The sequence below is a fragment of the Homo sapiens genome, chromosome 5 (assembly GCF_000001405.40).
Source record: "Homo sapiens chromosome 5, GRCh38.p14 Primary Assembly".
Lineage (NCBI taxonomy): Eukaryota > Metazoa > Chordata > Mammalia > Primates > Hominidae > Homo > Homo sapiens.
In genome coordinates, this window is record NC_000005.10 from 76168287 (window position 1) to 76187899 (window position 19613).

A 19613-nucleotide genomic window follows, 5' to 3' on the forward strand; every position below is an offset into this window, starting at 1 on the left:
CTGAACCCTGTGTCCCTGTCTAATGCTCGCTACTTTAGCTGACTCAACTCCATGCTTGCCCAACTGCAGTAGCTGCCCCCACCCCTGCCCACCAGGATGACTCACCCTGGACCCCTCCTTACCTTGGATCCAGTCAGATAATAATATGTGGAACTCCTTTACCACCTTTAATCAGGTTGGCCAAAAACAGTAGCAGAAAATGTGCTCATAAAATTCTGAATCTCCTTTTGGAGATGATGTCGTGAAGGAGGTATGGTGATCTTTGACCAAATGCCCCAAGATGGTCGGCTCCGGGCCGCGCTGCATTTCTTATGCCGCGTTGCTCTCTCTCCGTTCATTTTGCTTTCACGATAGCCTGGAGTGAATATATCTTCCCTTCCTTGTCAGCCCTTACTTCTCTCTTAAATTATGTTCTACTGTGTTCTCACAAGATTTTCTCGTAAAATATAAAACCACCTTCCTTTTGGGAGAATATGTAGACTGTGGGGGTTTCAGTAGTTCTGACATCATGTTCCAGGGCAGTGCCAGCGACACTTTTAACCCCGAAGAGGAAATCCCTGCCCCGCTCTTGAGTTGCTCTCAAAGGCTGACCTGTAGACACTATTGCTTACTAATTCCTCCAGCGTGACATTTATCCTGGGGATCTCATTTTGTGCTAATGTAGCTGAAGTCTGAAGTCAGTACTCTAGTGGGCCTCCCCTATTTTTCCCTATTAATTAATGAACTGTTATTTAAAGTACTGCTGACTTCTCTGGGTTCCTGAGTCAGGCAGTTCTACTACTCTGGGCATGAAAGAAAAATAAAATGAAACAAGAGGATAAAATATATTTTACTGGACAAAGTAGAAGAATGAACAATTATCCCATCAAACACTTTGGAGGAAAGTTCTGAATGTGTGTTGGAAATGATTTAATGCAGGAGCCCAGGATGGTCAGCAGTTGGTGAGGTCTGGCTGGGGACTCTGTTTAGAAGCACTCCAATTTCCAGAATCACTGTGGCAATATGATGGCTGTCATTCCAATTTACTGATGTGACGAGATGGGCTCAGATCTGTATGACTAGGGCACTGTGCTTAGCATCTAGACATGATGTAATATTCACAGGAACCCTCTTAGTTGTAGGGGGCAGGGTGGTGAAAAACTGGGAATTAAGGGTATTACAAAGGCATAAGTAGGTATATTTTATCTCAGACTTGTCAGTTAGGATTTTGTTTCTAAAGCCGACAGAACTACTGGATCAAAGAAGATAGCATAAAACTGTTATGTTTCTCAGTAGCACTACGGGAATCCATCAACTGCATCAAACCTTCCCCAATTAACAAAAGCTTGGGTAAATCCTGCATCAACTGAAGACTGGCATTCATAATGCCCTTAACTGGTTCCATCACATTAAACCGATTAAGGAAGCTCACAGACACTGTTGATGCTGCTTGGAAACCAGTCCTAGCAACAATAGCACGTGGAATTTGAGGGGCTTGAGAAAGGCAGCCCTCGAGGAATTAGCTTGCTAGGTAGCCAGATCATTTGGCCAGCTGTGGAAACCATGTTAGTGGAATAGTGGTGTCAATTTGTGGAGAAAGATTGTGTCTGGTAGTAAAAAAGTGGTTTCCCCAAAGAAGGTCAGAGATGTCTTCTAGAGGGCTGGGTGGCAGCTATTAGAAGTCAAACTATACAAGAAAGATATTGGTAAAAAATAATAAATAAATAAATAAATAACAATTTTCTCTACAAAAATGTTGATGTGACAACCAGTCATCATCTCAATCCTATTTTATTTTTTTATTTTTATTTTTATTTTTTAAGTTATACAAAATTGCACCACTTTAATTAAGGCTTTTAGTTTACATTTGGCCACCTCAAAGTAGTTGTAACATTAGGTTGGTCAATTTAAATACTGTGGCTCCCTGTTGGATAGACACACAATCTTTACATCCAAACATTAATGCATACAAAGCAACAAGGCATTGTTAAATAAAACAGCAATAGTTACTGCAAATTAGGCCTTGTGACCAATTACATATGATTAAAATTACTTCCCACATTCACATCCACAGTACTCGTCCACCATTTAACATCTCAACCAAAACGTTACACATGTGAAACAATCACTAACAGGCAAAAATACTAAACCTGTATATTTGGTATTGCAAATACACTTATGCATGAGCAAGCAAGGGATTCACAGTGAGAATCTACAGCTGCAGAAGCCTGAAAATGATTTACAAAAATTGTTAAATCATTAAAAAATTGTTTGAAAATATACACTTCTTGTTGTAGACCCCCACTGTACACACGACTATAAACATTGTTCCCTATGTAAACAAAAAAAGGAAACATATAATAAGAGATTTGAAAAGTCTGGACATTTCCTTCCCAACAGATATTAAAGGCAACGTCTTTAATCTAAGACATTATACTGAAAGGACTATCATATTTTAAAGACAAGATCACTGTCTCCACAGGTTTTTTAAAAATTAAAAAAACTGAGAAGGCTCGAAGGCGCCGCGGGCTGGGGTCGGTGGCTTAGGGAGCCCGTCCGGCCATGGTGGCCGCGGGTGGTGGTTGGCGCGGCTGCGCTGCGGCCCGGGGCAGTGCGGAGCCGGGACAGTCGCGGCGCTGACGCCCGCGGGCCCCAGCTGCAGCTATGAAGCGGAGCCGCTGCCGCGACCGACCGCAGCCGCCGCCGCCCGACCGCCGGGAGGATGGAGTTCAGCGGGCAGCGGAGCTGTCTCAGTCTTTGCCGCCGCGCCGGCGAGCGCCGCCCGGGAGGCAGCGGCTGGAGGAGCGGACGGGCCCCGCGGGGCCCGAGGGCAAGGAGCAGCCGCCTGCCTTGGCCTCCCAAAGTGCCGAGATTGCAGCCTCTGCCCGGCTGCCACCCCGTCTGGGAAGTGAGGAGTGTCTCTGCCTGGCCGCCCATCGTCTGGGATGTGAGGAGCCCCTCTGCCTGGCTGCCCAGTCTGGAAAGTGAGGAGCGTCTCCGCCCGGCCGCCATCCCATCTAGGAAGTGAGGAGCGCCTCTTCCCAGCCGCCATCACATCTAGGAAGTGAGGAGCGTCTCTGCCCGGCCGCCCATCGTCTGAGATGTGGGGAGCGCCTCTGCCCCGCCGCCCCATCTGGGATGTGAGGAGCGCCTCTGCCCGGCCGAGACCCCGTCTGGGAGGTGAGGAGCGTCTCTGCCCGGCTGCCCCGTCTGAGAAGTGAGGAGACCCTCTGCCTGGCAACCACCCCGTCTGAGAAGTGAGGAGCCTCTCCGCCCGGCAGCCACCCCATCTGGGAAGTGAGGAGCGTCTCCGCCGGGCAGCCACCCCGTCCAGGAGAGAGGTGGGGGGGGGGTCAGCCCCCCGCCCGGCCAGCCGCCCCATCCGGGAGGGAGGTGGGGGGTCAGCCCCCCCGCCCGGCCAGCCGTGCCGTCCGGGAGGGAGGTGGGGGGGTCAGCCCCCCGCCTGGCCAGCCGTGCCGTCCGGGAGGGAGGTGGGGGGGTCAGCCCCCCGCCCGGCCAGCCGCCCCGTCCGGGAGGTGAGGGGCGCCTCTGCCCGGCCGCCCCTACTGGGAAGTGAGGAGCCCCTCAGCCCGGCCAGCCACCCCGTCCGGGAGGGAGATGGGGGGGTCAGCCCCCCCACCCGGCCAGCCGCCCCGTCCGGGAGGGAGGTAGGGGGGTCAGCCCCCCGCCTGGCCAGCCGCCCCGTCCGGGAGGGAGGTGGGGGGGGTCAGCCCTCCGCCCGGCCAGCCGCCCCGTCTGGGAGGTGAGGGGCGCCTCTGCCCAGCCGCCCCTACTGGGAAGTGAGGAGCCCCTCTGCCCGGCCAGCCGCCCTGTCCGGGAGGGAGGTGGGGGGGTCAGCCCTCCGCCCGGCCAGCCGCCCCGTCTGAGAGGTGAGGGGCGCCTCTGCCCGGCCGCCCCTACTGGGAAGTGAGGAGCCCCTCTGCCCGGCCAGCCGCCCCGTCCGGGAGGGAGGTGGGGGGGTCGGCCCCCCGCCCGGCCAGCCGCCCCGTCCGGGAGGGAGGTGGGGGGGGGGGTCAGCCCCCCCGCCCAGCCAGCCGCCCTGTCCGGGAGGTGAGGGGCGCCTCTGCCCGGCCGCCCCTACTGGGAAGTGAGGAGCCCCTCTGCCCGGCCAGCCGCCCCGTCCGGGAGGGAGGTGGGGGGGGTCAGCCCCCCCGCCCAGCCAGCCGCCCTGTCCGGGAGGTGAGGGGCGCCTCTGCCCGGCCGCCCCTACTGGGAAGTGAGGAGCCCCTCTGCCCGGCCACCACCCCGTCTGGGAGGTGTGCCCAACAGCTCATTGAGAACGGGCCAGGATGACAATGGCGGCTTTGTGGAATAGAAAGGCGGGAAAGGTGGGGAAAAGATTGAGAAATCGGATGGTTGCCGTGTCTGTGTAGAAAGAAGTAGACATGGGAGACTTTTCATTTTGTTCTGCACTAAGAAAAATTCCTCTGCCTTGGGATCCTGTTGATCTGTGACCTTACCCCCAACCCTGTGCTCTCTGAAACATGTGCTGTGTCCACTCAGGGTTAAATGGATTAAGGGCGGTGCAAGATGTGCTTTGTTAAACAGATGCTTGAAGGCAGCATGCTCGTTAAGAGTCATCACCAATCCCTAATCTCAAGTACCCAGGGACACAAACACTGCGGAAGGCCTCAGGGTCCTCTGCCTAGGAAAACCAGAGACCTTTGTTCACTTGTTTATCTGCTGACCTTCCCTCCACTATTGTCCCATGACCCTGCCAAATCCCCCTCTGTGAGAAACACCCAAGAATTATCAATAAAAAAATAAATTAAAAAAAAATACAAAAAAAAAAAAATTAAAAAAACTATATAGCTGTGTTAATCAAAGCGCTTATTTTGTACAATAATAATGACCTTGAATTTCTTAAAAAAAATTACAATAAGCTACAAGTATCAAAGAAGCGAAGTTATCTGGAGTAGTCTATATAGGAGCTCTTTGGACTTTCTTTTATTATGCTAAAATAGTGGTGCTTTTAGGATTTACATTATTGTACTCTCCAATACAAAGTATGGGGCATGTTAAAGTATACAGTACACCATTTTCATACATGTACAACATTGGTGGATGAAGAATGTCTCTTAGCAGTAATACTGGATGTAGCCTCTGGTTTTACCAGCTGCATACTCTAGGACTATTATATAAGTAAAAATCTCTCTTGTGATACTGGAAAGTGATTAGAATGTGCAAACTGATATAGTAGCTTTCATCCGCCTCTTAAAGGGTACCACCACAGGAAAGTCCATTTAAGATGTTGGTAGGTTTAACAAAGTTGGAATGCTGGCACTGTTGAATTGGGCAACAGTTCTTCAGACCTGGCTCAGAGCTACAATGCATTTAGTATATTAAAGCAGCTGACATGATGACTTTTTGCGAGCCTTCCCAGGCACTGGAGTTTTTCTGTTAATTTGCCGCACTAGGTCATAAAAGATCTCATTAACATTTATTTTTGATTTTGCAGAAGATTCTAAGAATGCACAGTTGTTCCATTGTCTTGCTAGATTTTGACCTTGTTCCTTCCCTACAACTCTTTCATCTTCCAAGTCACACTTATTACCAACAAGAATCATTGGAACATCATCAGTGTCTTTAACTCGAAGAATCTGTTCTCTCAGGTCTTGTAAATCGTTAAATGTGGACTGTGCTGTGATGGAATAAACTAATGCAAACCCTTGTCCATTTTTCATGTATAAATCCCTCATTGCTGTAAATTGCTCCGTTCCTGCAGTATCCAAGATTTCAAGCATACACTGTTGTGCATCTACTTCAACTTGCTCTCTATAAGAATCTTCTATCGTAGGATCGTATTTTTCTACAAAAATTCCTTGAACAAATTGTACAGTCAAAGCAGACTTTCCAACGCCTCGTGAGCCAAGAACGACTAGCTTATACTCACGCATGATGCAAGCTTGTCAAAACCTAGTACTCTGCGAACCTCTCACGCTGTCACCGGGTCTCTGCAGCCAGCGTCGCCCCGTGCTCCCCGCGGGTCGCTACTCTAGGCGCCACGGCGGTCCTGCCGCTGCCGCGCCGCTCCGGCTGGTTTACACGCCTGAATCTGGGCGAGGTTTTCTCAATCCTATTTTATGAAATCCATCTGCCTCTGGTGTTTATGTTGGGGTGGGAGTTAATAATGAAAGAGCAAAATAATCTCATAATGTACTTGTTCCCATCAGGCCTGCAATGTGTGTCTCTGATGGAACAAGAAAGAGAGAGATCCTGAATCTTCTTTGCCATGGCACTGCCACTCCCACCTCGGGCCCTAAGCACAGACGATGCTATAGACCAGGAATCACCAAGCTTGTCTGTGAAGGCCCAGATAGTGAATACGTCAAATTTTTTAGGCCACCTGTGGTCTCTATCACATTTTCTTCTTTACTGTAGCCATTTTAAAAAATGTAAAAAAGAATGCTTAGCTTGTACGCTGCACGAAAGCATAGTTCGTGGACCCCTGCTACAAACCTGCACATTCTTTGTTACTAGCTAAGAATATGTCTCCAAATGTGGACATGGTCTCCTATCCTGATAAGCAAGGGTCCTCCTGTTCATCTAGCCCAACGCTGATGCTGGAGGCAGGCTTTGGCTCCTGCTTCATGCCCTCTTGGCCAGCACAAGTGCTGATACCCTGTTTACTGCTGTTGCTGTGAATGTTAAAGTCTCAGAGCCAAGAATCTCATGTGTTCTGCTGGCACCCGTGAGCCTGGCGGTCTAACTGACTAAATTTCAGGTAAGGTGAAATCTCAGACCCCTCACAGTTCTTGAGAGAGGCAGAAGGGGAAGGGAAGGAGAGGGGGCATGGTGAGAGATACCAGAAAAAACACTACACGGAAAAGAGATGACCCAAATGAAGAGGTCAGTTCCCCAACCCCTACGCTGGCCTGGTGTTTAAGTCCAGTTTCCATGTTGGCCTTCACAGAATCAGAGCTCTTCTTTGCTAGATAAAGTGTGGGGGAGTCTTTGGCTCCCCCTGGAGGCTAGAGTTTGCCAACGACAGGTAGGACCTGAAACACAATATGAATTGCTCTTTACTGTAAAACAAAAGGAAAGCTGACCATGACGAGATTTTACTCAAATGGCCCAGGGGTTAGGTATAATTCAATTAAAAAGGGAATTTGTCCTTTAAAGTAGGGGGATATATATATATGGCTTTAACTAAAAAGAAAAATGGACACAGAATCTAACAGTGAATGTTTAGGTATTAGTGACAGTCATCATTGTTAAAGTGCAGAGAGAAAATTAGATCTAACACAGAAGAGTAACATGGTGCTAAAATTTCCCCCATATCCCAGACAACTTCCTGTTTGCAGCTCGATGTGCTGATGAGATACTTTTAACACGAATCCTGAGGGCAGTGGACCTTAGAAAAATTATCATCTACAATTGTATGTTAAATTGCTAAGTAATTAAGATGTAAGATCTAGAAAATCACATACAATTTATTTCCAACAGCTGAAATTAGAACTTTCTAAATAAAAGCTAACCATACAACCCAAGGGTTTAACAAGTCAGAGTCTGTTTGGGAAAGCCAGCGTGTGTGTCCCCGAGAGGTGGATTGCAATCAGTAATAAAGGCATGAGTCCAGCCCTGTCAGATCTGTCTGACAGCCCCCACTGCACTCTGTCAGAATCTCCGCATGGGGATGGGTCAGGTTGCAGATGGTGACAGCATCATCCGAAAGTCTATGAGAAAGTGAAGGTAACACAAAGCCCTGGGATCCCTACCTTCCACACTGCTCTGCTTATCTGCACACACAGCTGTGAGGCTCCAGCCAGGCCCCCAGGAGCAATTTGTTATTTGTGACAACCTTGTGTGCATGGTGTTCTCCCTCACCCCCCACCCCAACACACACACAGGGAGCCAAAGTTTACTACGTTTAGTCTAAGTTGGGTTTTGAGATTTAAATGTTCAAGACTTAAGTGATTACCGATGGGGAAAATAGGAAGTGGCCTGGAGGTTCTCAGTTCGGGGGAGAATGGTTGTGCAAATAGAAAACCATGGTAGTGAATCTGCTACCCAGTTTTCTAAGAAGAGCTGCGGTTTTGTTTCATCCTGTCTCAGAGCTTTATTAATCAGCCATATTGTAGGTGACATGCTCCAGGACACACAGAATTTATGTCCTTGTGCTCTTTCCTCTAAGAGCTAATTAATGTATTTTTATTGGTGAGAAAGTTCACTCCACATATTTCTTCTCCTTGCATCATGATCAATTCTCCAATCTTAAAACCAAATCACCCACCACCACCACCCATAAACACCCTCTGCTTCAATCCTGGTCCCCATTTACTTAATTCCTATCTTTCCCCTACTTTTAAAATCTATTCATTAAAACAAAACAAAAGCCAAAAACATCTTTCCTGGGATTGCCTGGAGAAGACTTGACAGGACCAAGAGGGAAAACTTTCTAACCCCCAATCACTGTTTAGTTTATGGCTGGAATTATGGGGGAAAAGTAGAATGAGGTTGCTTTTGATGTTCTTTTGAAATGATTTGCAGCATTGAAAGAAATATTAGCAATTAAGCCATTTTGATTTTCTTTAAAACTGAAAGTAGAGGCCGGCAAGGTGGCTCACGCCTGTAATCCCAGCACTTTGGGAGAACGAGGTGGATGGATCACAAGGTCAGGAGATCGAGACCATCCTGGCTAACATGATGAAACCCCGTCTCTACTAAAAATACAAAAAATTAGCCGAGCACGGTGGCGGGCGTCTGTAGTCCCAGCTACTCGGGAGGCTGAGGCAGGAGAATGGCGTGAACCCGGGAGGCAGAGCTTGCAGTGAGCCGAGATCACGCCACTGCACTCCAGCCTGGGCGACAGAGCGAGACTCTGTCTCAAAAAAAAAACAACAAAAAACAGAAAGTACAGAAGTGTATATATTTAATAATCAATTATATTAATCAATATATTATATATTAATATATACAAATAATATATACAAATATATTAATCTGTATATATGATTCTTAATGCTGTATTTCTTATAGTCTGGGTATCCCAGTGAATGAAATATTTTCAGCAGTGTTTTGGGAAGTACAGAGATCTTCCCTTATATGTTCCAGGACCCGCTAGTGATACCTAGAATCGCAGATAGTACCGTCCCCTATATATACTGTTTTTTCAATATATACATACCCATGGTAAAGTTCAACTTACAAATTCAGCATAGTAGGATATTAATAACAATAACTGATAATAAAATAATAAACTAGAATAATTATAACAATATACTATAATAAAAGTTACCTAAATATGGTATTTCTGTCTCTCAAAATAACTTAATATTTTCAGACCATGGTTGGCTGCGAATAACTGAAACCACTGAAGGCAAAACCGCAGATAAGGGGGAACTACTGTATGCTATTCCAGATATGTGTTATTATGTCCCAAACTATCCAAAATCTTAGTGGCTTTAAACAATAGCCATTTTATTGTATCTCACACTCCTGTGTGACTTTGGAACTTGGACAAGGCTTGGCTAGGTGATTCTTCTGTTCTTGGTGGTTTAAACAGAGGTCACTCAGTGGTATTTTGCTGGAGGGTCTAAGATGACTGACATCTGGGCAGGAATGGCTGAAAGATTGTTTTCTTGTTCTGTTCCTCTAAAATACCAGTTCCTCTTAGATATTTATGCTTTGTTTGTTCACTGTGCTGATATAGAGGAGATTTCTCTGAAAAGAAAACCATACTTTCATTGTTTATAATTATGCTTAAACTTAAGAAGATAAATACATTTTTCATAAGTCTGTTTCTCATGCATTTTGGGCCCAGTGGGGACAGTAGGTGAGAGCACCTATCTGTGACCTCTTCAGCATATCAGTCTCAGGGTAGTCAGATGTACAGATGGGGCCTCAGGGCTCCAAAAGCAAGTGCTATGGTAGACAAGGTGGAAACTGCATGGCCTTTTATTACCTAATCTTGAAAGTCACATAGCATCACTTCTGTCATACACTATTCATTCAAGCAGTTACCCAGAATCAAGGAGAGGCAACATAGACTTCACCTTTTCATGGGAAGAGCATTGCAGAATTTGCAGCTGTGTTGTACAGTCACCAAACATGCACACAGGAGACATCTCCATTCTATTACATGTTAGAGTAAATTTCTTTTCTTTTTCAGGTGTAGTATTTCCAAAATATTGTTCCCACCATTGAGTTTTATAGCAGTGGCTCCCAGTCTTTTGGATTTTTAATTCCAATTTTGAAAAAAAAGAATGAGCAAGATTGACAGAGGGAAGCCCACCTTTATTTTACTAAGGAAGAACATTTAAAAATAATGATTGCAATAACATGCACACTACTCTTTATACTCACTATCATTTTATAAAACAAAAGGCATGTTCACATTAAAATAATAGGAAGGGCATGTTCTTAAAGGACCTTTTTTAAATTGAATAAATTTATCTTTATGAAAAAGACATATCATTTTCCTTGTTTTTCTTGTTTAACTGCAGGCTGGTGGAAACTGTCTCATGGAGCCTGCCTTTTTGGCAGATTGGATTTGGGAATTATTCTTCTAGACAAAAGGTCTCAAGTATGCCACTTATACTTTCTTGGGACACTCAAGATTTTATGGTCATAATTTCATTTTTGAGTTAGTTCTGTCAATTGCATAGCTTTATGTGAGGAGGACTGCAGTTTGAGTTCAACCTTCTAAATTAAATCAACGAGGTTTTACTGATTTTCAAAATGTGCCTACAATAGTGTAGCCTCATGGAGTTTCAGAAAAGGATGACATAATACATAGTTCCTGCCAGGAGTCAAATTGAAAATTAATTATAGAGATAGGACTGATGCTTATGAAATGCTGATAAATAACGCAAGTTAGAATGTGGGTGAGAATGTATAGGAGTTACCCACGCAAACTATAGTAGTCTGGGTGTCTTCACTATGAATGTGCAGTTGAAGTTCAAGGTACATGATTTGGATGAAAGGCAAAAGGAGCATGTTGCATATATGATTAATTGAATGAGGATTCGTGGATAAGAATGAATGAACGAATGCAGTGTGCTTAGGGGCCATTTAGGGATTCTAGGATACAATGGTTTTTAACGTGCCTTATCTTAGGTTTCAGAGCAGAAAACAAAATGGATTCAGCATTGTTTTTTGCTTGTTTTTGAGTCACAATATAATAATTGATTAAAATTCCTACTTTTTTCTTACTCTCAAAGTGACCATGTTTTTCTCTGAGAAGCGGATGGCTGACTGCTCATTCTAGACATAAATCATTAATAGTCATAATAAAAAGAATCAGCTACTAAGTAACAGCTTCAGTACTGTAGGTCAGCACCTGAATATCTGGGTGACCTTTCCTAAAATGCCGAAGAGTGCTTCTGACAGTTTGGGATCGAGGAGCCCTCGTGTGATGCTTCATCACTAATGACAAAATAAATCTCAAGTGTCAAGAAGTGCTGCCCTGAATTCACCTCGACTTTGCCATCAGCAATGGATTAGGGGCAACATCCATTAGTGCAAGGTAGATCCCGCTATTTATTCACTCACTGCTCTGGGCTGACAACTTAGGTGTCTGCCTGTTTCAGGAAACAAAAGGTCACATAGGAGTATCAGTAATGGCCTGCTGGATTTTCTCTTTAGACATTTACTGGAATCTATTATGATCTAGTCTGGTTGTTTTGATATCTGCCATCTGAACTTTAAAAACAACAACAGAAAAAAAACTTACAGATAATTTTTTAAGAGAGGGATCTTGGAGGCTTTGTGCAATTATTTTCCTATGAATGTTGATCAAGCACTGTGTGATCTTTGAGTTCATTTTCAGTCCTGTTTTCCTGCCATACACAATCATGTTCCCATCATCTAGAAATGCACGGACTTAAGCAGTGAGAGTCCCTGCCCCTCCAGGCCTTTCTGTTGCTGTACAATATCAAAAGATTTAATATGAACATAGATCAAAAATTGTTTTCTTGTTCTGTTCCTCTAAAATACCAGTTCCTTTTAGATTTTTATGCTTTGTTTATTCACTGTGCTGATATTAATATAAAGGAGACTTTTCTGGAAAAATATTTTTTAAGGTAGTTATGCTTAAACTTAAGAAGATTAATATATTTCTCATAAGTCTGTTTTTCACGCATTTTCTGACAAGACACATAGTAGCACTTTTCTTCCAAAATAGCCCACTCTTCCAATAGCATAAGCCCTTTGCTATAGTCTATTACATCTGCGGCTGTGGTTTCAAGGCAATCATGTCCATATTAATATACTTGATGCTTTTCTTCTGTCTTCACTGATGCCCTGTGCTGACGCATTTGTTCCAGTTCTTTTCAGTCCAGTGACATGGTACCCTCTTGCTCCTCTGAATTGCAGTTGTACTTAGCTACATCCCTGGCCTCCTCCTCTCACTGCCCCCTCTGCTTTCATCTCCTGTTCTCTGCCTTCGTCATTCCTCCTGGCCCGAGACTGCCCCTTCAACCTTGCCAGTGACCTCTTCCAGGACGGGCCCAAAGGTCTTTTCTGAGCTCTCATGCTGTGGACACTGTTGAGCAGCCTTTCCTCTTCAGTTTTTCTTCTGAGGTCTTCTCTGCTCTATCCAGACCCTTCTTCTTATTTCCTTGTCCACACTTTCTTACCTCTGACTTCTTTTCCTTCTTGCCGTCTAAATGTCACCATCCTCAAGGGTTGACTCTTTCACTTCTTCTTGGCCATATCCTTTGAGCCTGGGTCATATCCTTTCACTTACTCTTGCAGGGAAATCACATTTCGCAAGGCTCTCAACTGCCCTGCTATGCTGCCACCTCCCAAGTATGTTTCTTCATTTCCTTACCCCAGCCTTGGTGTTACACTTTCCATTGCCTCTCAGCCATCCCCCTACCTGTTCAATTAATACACACCTACCCTCAGGCAAACGCTTCCTCTAAAGCAGGAGTCCATAAATGACAACCAACAGCTCCGATCCAACCCTCTGCCTGATTCTGTAGATAAAGGTTGGTAGGAACACAACCACACCCATCTGTTTACATGTTGTCTATGGCTGGTTCCATGCCGCAGCAGCAGAGCTGAGTCATTGCAGTAGAGTCCGTATGGCCCACAGAGTCTGAGGTATTTACTATCTGGCCTTTTACAGAAAGTCTGCCAGTCCTGTTCTACAGTGCCTTTGCCTTTTCACACTAGGGCTTTCTATTAGTCTGTTTTCACACTGCTATAAAGACCTACCCGAGACTGGGTAATTTATGAAGAAAAGAGTTTTAACTGACTCATAGTTTCACAAGCTTAACAGGAAGCATGGCTAGGAGGCCTTGGGAAATTTACAATCTTGGCAGAAGGTGAAGGGCAAGCAAGCATGTCTTACCATGGTGGAGCAGGAGAGAGAGGGAAGGGGGGATGTGCTGCACTTTTAAACCATCAGATCTCGTGAGAACTCTGTGAGGAGACAGCACTAGGGGGATAGGGCTAAACCATTAGAAACCACCCCCATGATCAACCACTTCCCACCAGGCCCCACCTTCAACATGTGGGGATTACAATTCAACTTGAGATTTGGGTGGGGACAAACAGCCAAACAATATCAGGCTTTGATTGCTTTCCTTCCCCACGCAGGAACCCATAAGTGACTCCTCATTGTCTGTATAAGTAATTTAAATGCTTTTGCTTTGATATTTAGGAGTCTTCTCATACTCATCCAGCCCAATTATATTTCTCCACACACTAAACCCAGTCATTCCCACCAGACACCTATCCTCCTGACCTTTCCAACCTTCTCATGCCTCCTACGTTAGACCTTCTCCAGGACTGTTGTGTAGTCCTGAAAGAAAGCAAAAATGCCATTCCACCTATCCTCTCATTGTTCATATTCTCCTTGGTTTTTATTTTTATTTTTTGAAGCTCCTGAATCATTTCCTGATGGTCAGCTGTATTGACCACTGCTTTATTGATTTGCATGTGTTGCCTGCTCTGCCCTATCCTGCCCTGTTCACATAGAGTAGAATGAGGGTTTCTGTTGTGAACATCTTCCTCGCTTGTTTAAGACATGACCCCCCAGACCTACCCGCCTCTTGTATTTCTTTTATCAATTTTGTTATGACCTATCCCAAGCTGGAATCCTTAATGTGAACTTCAACTCTTCTTTGCCTCACCTGTCAGTTTACAACAACTATGGTCTCTGATAACTGAAAATACTTACAGCCTTTTCTCTCTTCTCCAAGCCTGCTCTCTTTTTCTTGCCTTAGACCAGGTGGCCATCATTTCTTCCTTGGCCTACTACAGTTATTTGCTCAGGGATAGTCCTTCAGCTGGTCTTTTTTCCAGGGTCAGTACTAGAATGAGGAAAGCGAGGTGCCTCGGGCGTAAGATGAAAGGAAGCACACACTCTCAGAGTTGTGCACATTCAGAGCCAGCACGTGAGAGTGAGGCTCCTTAAATTTTGTGCTCCAGGCACTTCAGGAGATTCAGTGACCTGCCCTAGTCCTGGTGGCCTTTCTCCCTCCCTGTGTTTGGCTATTCCTGCATTGCTATAAAGAAATACCTGAGACTGGGTAATTTATAAAGAAAGGGTCGTGATGCTGCAGGCTATAGAGGAAGCAGAGCGGCATCTGTTTCTGGGGAGGCCTCAGGAAGCTTCCAATCATGGTAGAAGGTGAAGTGGGAGCAGGCACGCCACATGGTGAAACTAGGATTGAGAGAGAGAGTGTGTGTGTGTGTGTGTATGTGAGAGAGAGAGAGAGAGACAGAGAGAGAGAGAGAGAGTAGGGGGAGGTGCCACATACTTTTAAATGACCACATCTCATGAGAACCTACCATTTTTTTTTTTTTTTTTTTTTTTGAGACAGAGTCTCACTCTTGTTGCCCAGGCTGGAGTGCAGTGGCATGATCTTGGCTCACTGCACCCTCCACCTCCCAGGTTCAAGCAAGCCTCCTGAGTAGCTGGGATTACGGGTGCCTGCCACCACACCTGGCTAATTTTTTGTATTTTTCGTAGAGACAGGGTTTCACCATGTTGGCCAGGCTGGTCTCAAACTCCTGACCTCAGGTGGTCTGCCCGCCTTGGTCTCCCAAAGTGCTGAGATTACAGGTGTAAGCCACCATGCCCAGCTGAGAACCTACCATCTTGAAGACAGCACCAAGACATAAAGGATCCACCCCTATGATCCAAACACCTCCCACCAGGCCCCACCTCCAGCACTGGGGTTTGTGCTCTCAAACCCATCCAAATCTCATGTTAAATTGGAATTAACATGAGATTTGGGCATGACAAATATCCAAAGTATATCACCACCTCTACCCTCCCCTTCTCTCCATCTTTCCTCCTTGCAGTTTATCCTTGCAGTTGCTAAAATGATATTTGAAGGAACAGATAATATCTAGTCTGTTTTTCAGCTGCCCCAAGGATAAAGCTCAACTCCTTGTGTTGACTCCAACTTTTCCTCCAGCCTTCTCTCTTGCCACTCTCCCCCAACCCATGAATTCCACATTCCGTCTACCCTGAACTACCTAGAGTCCTCTTGGTGTGCTATGCTCTGACACACTTCCAAACCTTTGAAGATGATATTCTTCCCTCCCTTGGAACTTTCCTCCGAGAGTGCCTTTTACTTGGAGGCTTCTCATTCATTATTCAAAACCCAGTACAACCATCACCCTGTATGTGAAGCTTTTCAGAATTCCCTAGAACTAATTAAGTAGTCTTTCCTTTTTTCCCCTTAAGCATAATGTACTCACCTTAATTATAGCACGTGTTTCATTCTGTGGTAATTACTTTTTGCATGTTTTTAATCTCCCAGGAAACCAAAGGTTCAAAGCCCCGGCTTCATATTAGAATTTCTTGGAAAGCTTTTAAGAAATACTGTCATCTGAACCCTATGCCAAAACCTTGGTGTTAAGCTTCACATTGCCTCTTGGATAGAGAAGAAATAGCAAATTATAGATAAAGAACCTCTGGGTGTGGCCTGGCATCAGTGTTTTGTTTTTCTTAAAGCTCTTCAGATGATTCCAGTGAGCAGCCAGAGTCTGAAACCTTGCTGCACTAGGCTGTGATCTCCTGGAGAGTGAAAACTGTGTCCTATTCAAGTTTGTGGACCTCTCCTCCCTCCCTACCCTCATACTTTGCAAGATGCCTGGTTTATAGCAGGAGCTCAAGCAAGAGCTGTGGAATTAATGATCACCTGCTTCATTTGTTCAGTCAGTGATTGGGATTATTGAAGATTAGGTTCAGTCTATTACCACTTGTATTAGTCCGTTCTCATACTGCTATAAAGAAATAACTGAGACTGAATAATTTATAAAGAAAAGAGGTTTAATTGACTCACAGTTCTGCATGGCTGGGGAGGTCTCAAGAAACTTACAATCATGGCAAAAGGCACCTCTTCATAGGGCGGCAGGAGAGAGAATGAGTGCTGAGCGAAGGGGGGAAGCCCCTTGTAAAACTCTCAGATCTCATGAGAACTCACTGAGTATCATGAGAACAGCATGAAGGAAGCCACTCCCATGATTCAATTATCTCTGCCTGGTCCCACCCTTGACACGTGGGGATTATTTCAATTCAAGGTGAGATCTGTGGGGACACAGAGCCAAAGCATATCATTCTACCCCAAGCCCCTCCCAGATCTCATGTCCTCACATTTCAAAACACAATCATGCCCTTCCAACAGTCCCCCAAAGTCTTAATTCATTTCAGCATTAACCCAAAGGTCCAAGTCCAAAGTCTCATCTGAGACAAGGCAAATCCCTTCTTCCTATGAGCCTGTAAAATCAAAAGCAAGTTAGTTACTTCCTAGATACAATGGGGTTACAGGAATTGGGTAAATACACAGATTCCCAATGGGAGAAATTGGCCAAAATGAAGGGGCTACAGGCCCCATGTGAGTCCAAAATCCAGTAGGTCAGTAGTTAAACCTTAACATTCCAAAATGATTTTCTTTGACTCCATATCTCACATCCAGGTCACACTGATACAAGAGGTGGGCTCCCACAGCCTTGGGCAGCTCTGCCCCTGTGGCTTTGCAGGGTACAGTTGCTGCTTTCATGGGCTGGCATTGAGTGTCTGCAGCTTTTCCAGGCACATGGTGCAAGCTGTTGGCAGATCTACCATTCTGGGTTCTGGAGGATGGTGGCCCTCTTCTCACAGCTCCGTTAGGCAGTGCCACAGTGGGGACTCTGTGTGGGGGCTTGTATCCCACATTTTCCTTCCTTACTACCTTAGCAGAGATTCTCCATGAGGGCTCTGCCCTTGCAGCAAACATCTGCCTGGACATCCAGGAGTTTCCATACATCCTTGGAAATCTAGGCAGAGATTCCCCAACCTTAATTCTTGACTTCTGTGCATCCCCAGGCCCAACACCATGTGTAAGCCACCAAGGCTTGGGGCTTGCACTCTCTGAAGCAATAGCCTGAGCTATAATCTGGACTCTTTTAGCCATAGCTGGAGCTGAAGCAGCTGGGATTCAGGGCACCATGTTCCAAGGCTGCATAGCAGCCGGTGAAACAATTTTTCCCTCCTAGGCCTCCAGGCCTGTGATGGGAGAGGCTGCCATGAAGGTCTCTCACATGTCCTGGAGACATTTTCCCCATTGTCCTGGTGATTCAATGGAGAAATCTCCATTGAATTCAGCTCCTGTTACTTATGCAAATTTCTGCACCAGGCTTGAATTTCTCCCCAGAAAATGGGTTTTTCTTTTCTATCACATCATCAGGCTGCAAGTTTTTCAAACTTTTATGCTCTGCTTCCTCTTGAACACTTTGTGGCTTAGAAACTTCTTCCACCAGATACCCTAAATCATCTTTCTCAAGTTCAAAATTCCACATATCTCTAGGGAAGGGGCAAAATGCCACCATTCTCTTTGCATAGCAAGAGTGACCTTTACCCTAGTTCCCAAGAAGTTCTTCATTTTCATTTGAGACCACCTCAGCCTGGACTTCGTTGTCCATATCACTACCAGCATTTTGGTCAAAGCCATTCAACAAGTCTCTAAGAAGTCCCAAACCTTCCCACATCTTCCTGTCTTCTTCTGAGCCCTCCAAACTGTTCCAGCAACTGGCTGGTACCCAGTTCCAAAGTCGTTTCCACATTTTCGGGTATCTTTAGAGCAGTGCTTCACTACCCAGTACCAATTTAGTGTATTAGTCCATTCTCACACTGCTATGAAAAAATACCCAAGACTGAGTAATTTATAAGGAAAAGAGGTTGGCCAGGCATGGTGGCTCATGCCTGTAATCACAGTACTTGAGGAGGCCAAGGCAGGCAGATCACCTGAGATCAGGAGTTCGATCCCAGCCTGGCCAACATGGTGAAACCCCATCTCTACTAAAAATACAAAAAGTAGCTGGGCATGGTGGCACACACCTGTGATCCCAGCTATGCAGGAGGCTGAGGCAAGAGAATTGCTTGAATCCAGGAGGCGGTGGTTGCAGTGAGCCAAGGTTACACCACTGCACTCCAGGCTGGGCAACAAAGTGAGACCTTATCTCAAACAAACAAACAAAGACATTTAATTGACTCGCAGTTCCACAGGGATGGGGAGGCCTCAGGAAACTTACAATCATGGTGGAAGGCACCTCTTCACAGGACAGCAGGAGAATGAGCACTGACCAAAGCGGGAAGCCCCTTATAAAATCATCAGATCTCATGAGAACTCACTCACTATCATGAGAACAGAATGAGGGAACCACCCCTATGATTCAATTATTTCCACCTGGTACTGCCCTTGACACATGGGGATTATTACAATTCGAGGTAAGATTTGGGTGGGGACACAGAGCCAGAGCATATCACCACTTTTCTCCCTCAGCACAGAACTTGGAGTAGGAGAACCTCGCAAGGGATGGGGATCCCATTGGTGTTAAACTGATATGCGATGTCCATGGTACACCACAAGGTGATTCGCTTTAATGTTCTTGATTCCTAAGACTTTTAAAAAATTGCTTCAAATAACAAGGGGGCCTGCAGAGCCATACATGCACAAAACACTGTAATGTCTCCTCCCCTGTCTGATGGGCATGCTGTACAACAGCCATTTGAGGAACGACATTAGAGAATAGATTGGGCTTCATTATTAGGCCTCTTCTTCTACAGTTTGCTCATTGGATTCAGGAAAACTGTCTTAGGCCCGCATGTGCTTTTTAGTGCCCAGGTGAACTTAGGTAACAAGTAGCACTATTGCTTGACATGGCATTATCTGCCCATGTTTGGTCTCTGCTTGGACCAGCAAACTTAAATGTCAGACTTCCCTAAGGTAAAAGTCAAAGATATGCTATAGACTGCATCTGATATTTACAGTTCTTTCTAGCTAAGAAGAGCTGGCTTTTGTGGTAAATATTCTCTCATGCAAATTAGAAAGGTTTTCCCCCCTTTGTACATATGCCTTTGATGTTATTACTTTCTTTGCTTTTATTTGATTTTGTGAAAGTCCACAGATGCTTTTGAACACATAATGGCCCCTACTTGTGGCTACTAAAAATAGTAATTGAAAAAGTGAGGGATCAGTTTTAGAAGCCTATTAATTATGTATTTAAATAGTTTCAAATTGCAAAAAAAAAAAAAAATATGTCTTAGGGATTTAGAAAATTACTCTTTCAGTGCTGTTTCAGGTATCTTCTTTTCAGAACTTGAGTTAAGGAAGGTGAAAAGTTGTCATTCCACTTTTTCTACCATTCCAGATCCATCTTCTTTAATTCCT

General features: G+C 45.2%; 1 protein-coding gene and 1 pseudogene across 5 annotated transcripts in view, besides 1 other annotated feature; one reads left to right on the top strand and one right to left on the bottom strand.

Annotated features, from left to right (window-relative positions):
* Positions 1 to 19613, top strand: part of SV2C (synaptic vesicle glycoprotein 2C) — a 506476-nt gene that overhangs the window by 320823 nt on the left and 166040 nt on the right. The window lies entirely within an intron of this gene.
* Positions 4805 to 6068, bottom strand: RAP1BL (RAP1B like (pseudogene); annotated as a pseudogene).
* Positions 7825 to 7904: an enhancer, noted in NCBI's record as "active region_22688". NCBI's record gives its function as "activates an Ori minimal core promoter by ATAC-STARR-seq in GM12878 lymphoblastoid cells {active_cell/tissue: GM12878}" and the evidence as "EXISTENCE:reporter gene assay evidence [ECO:0000049][PMID:35858748]".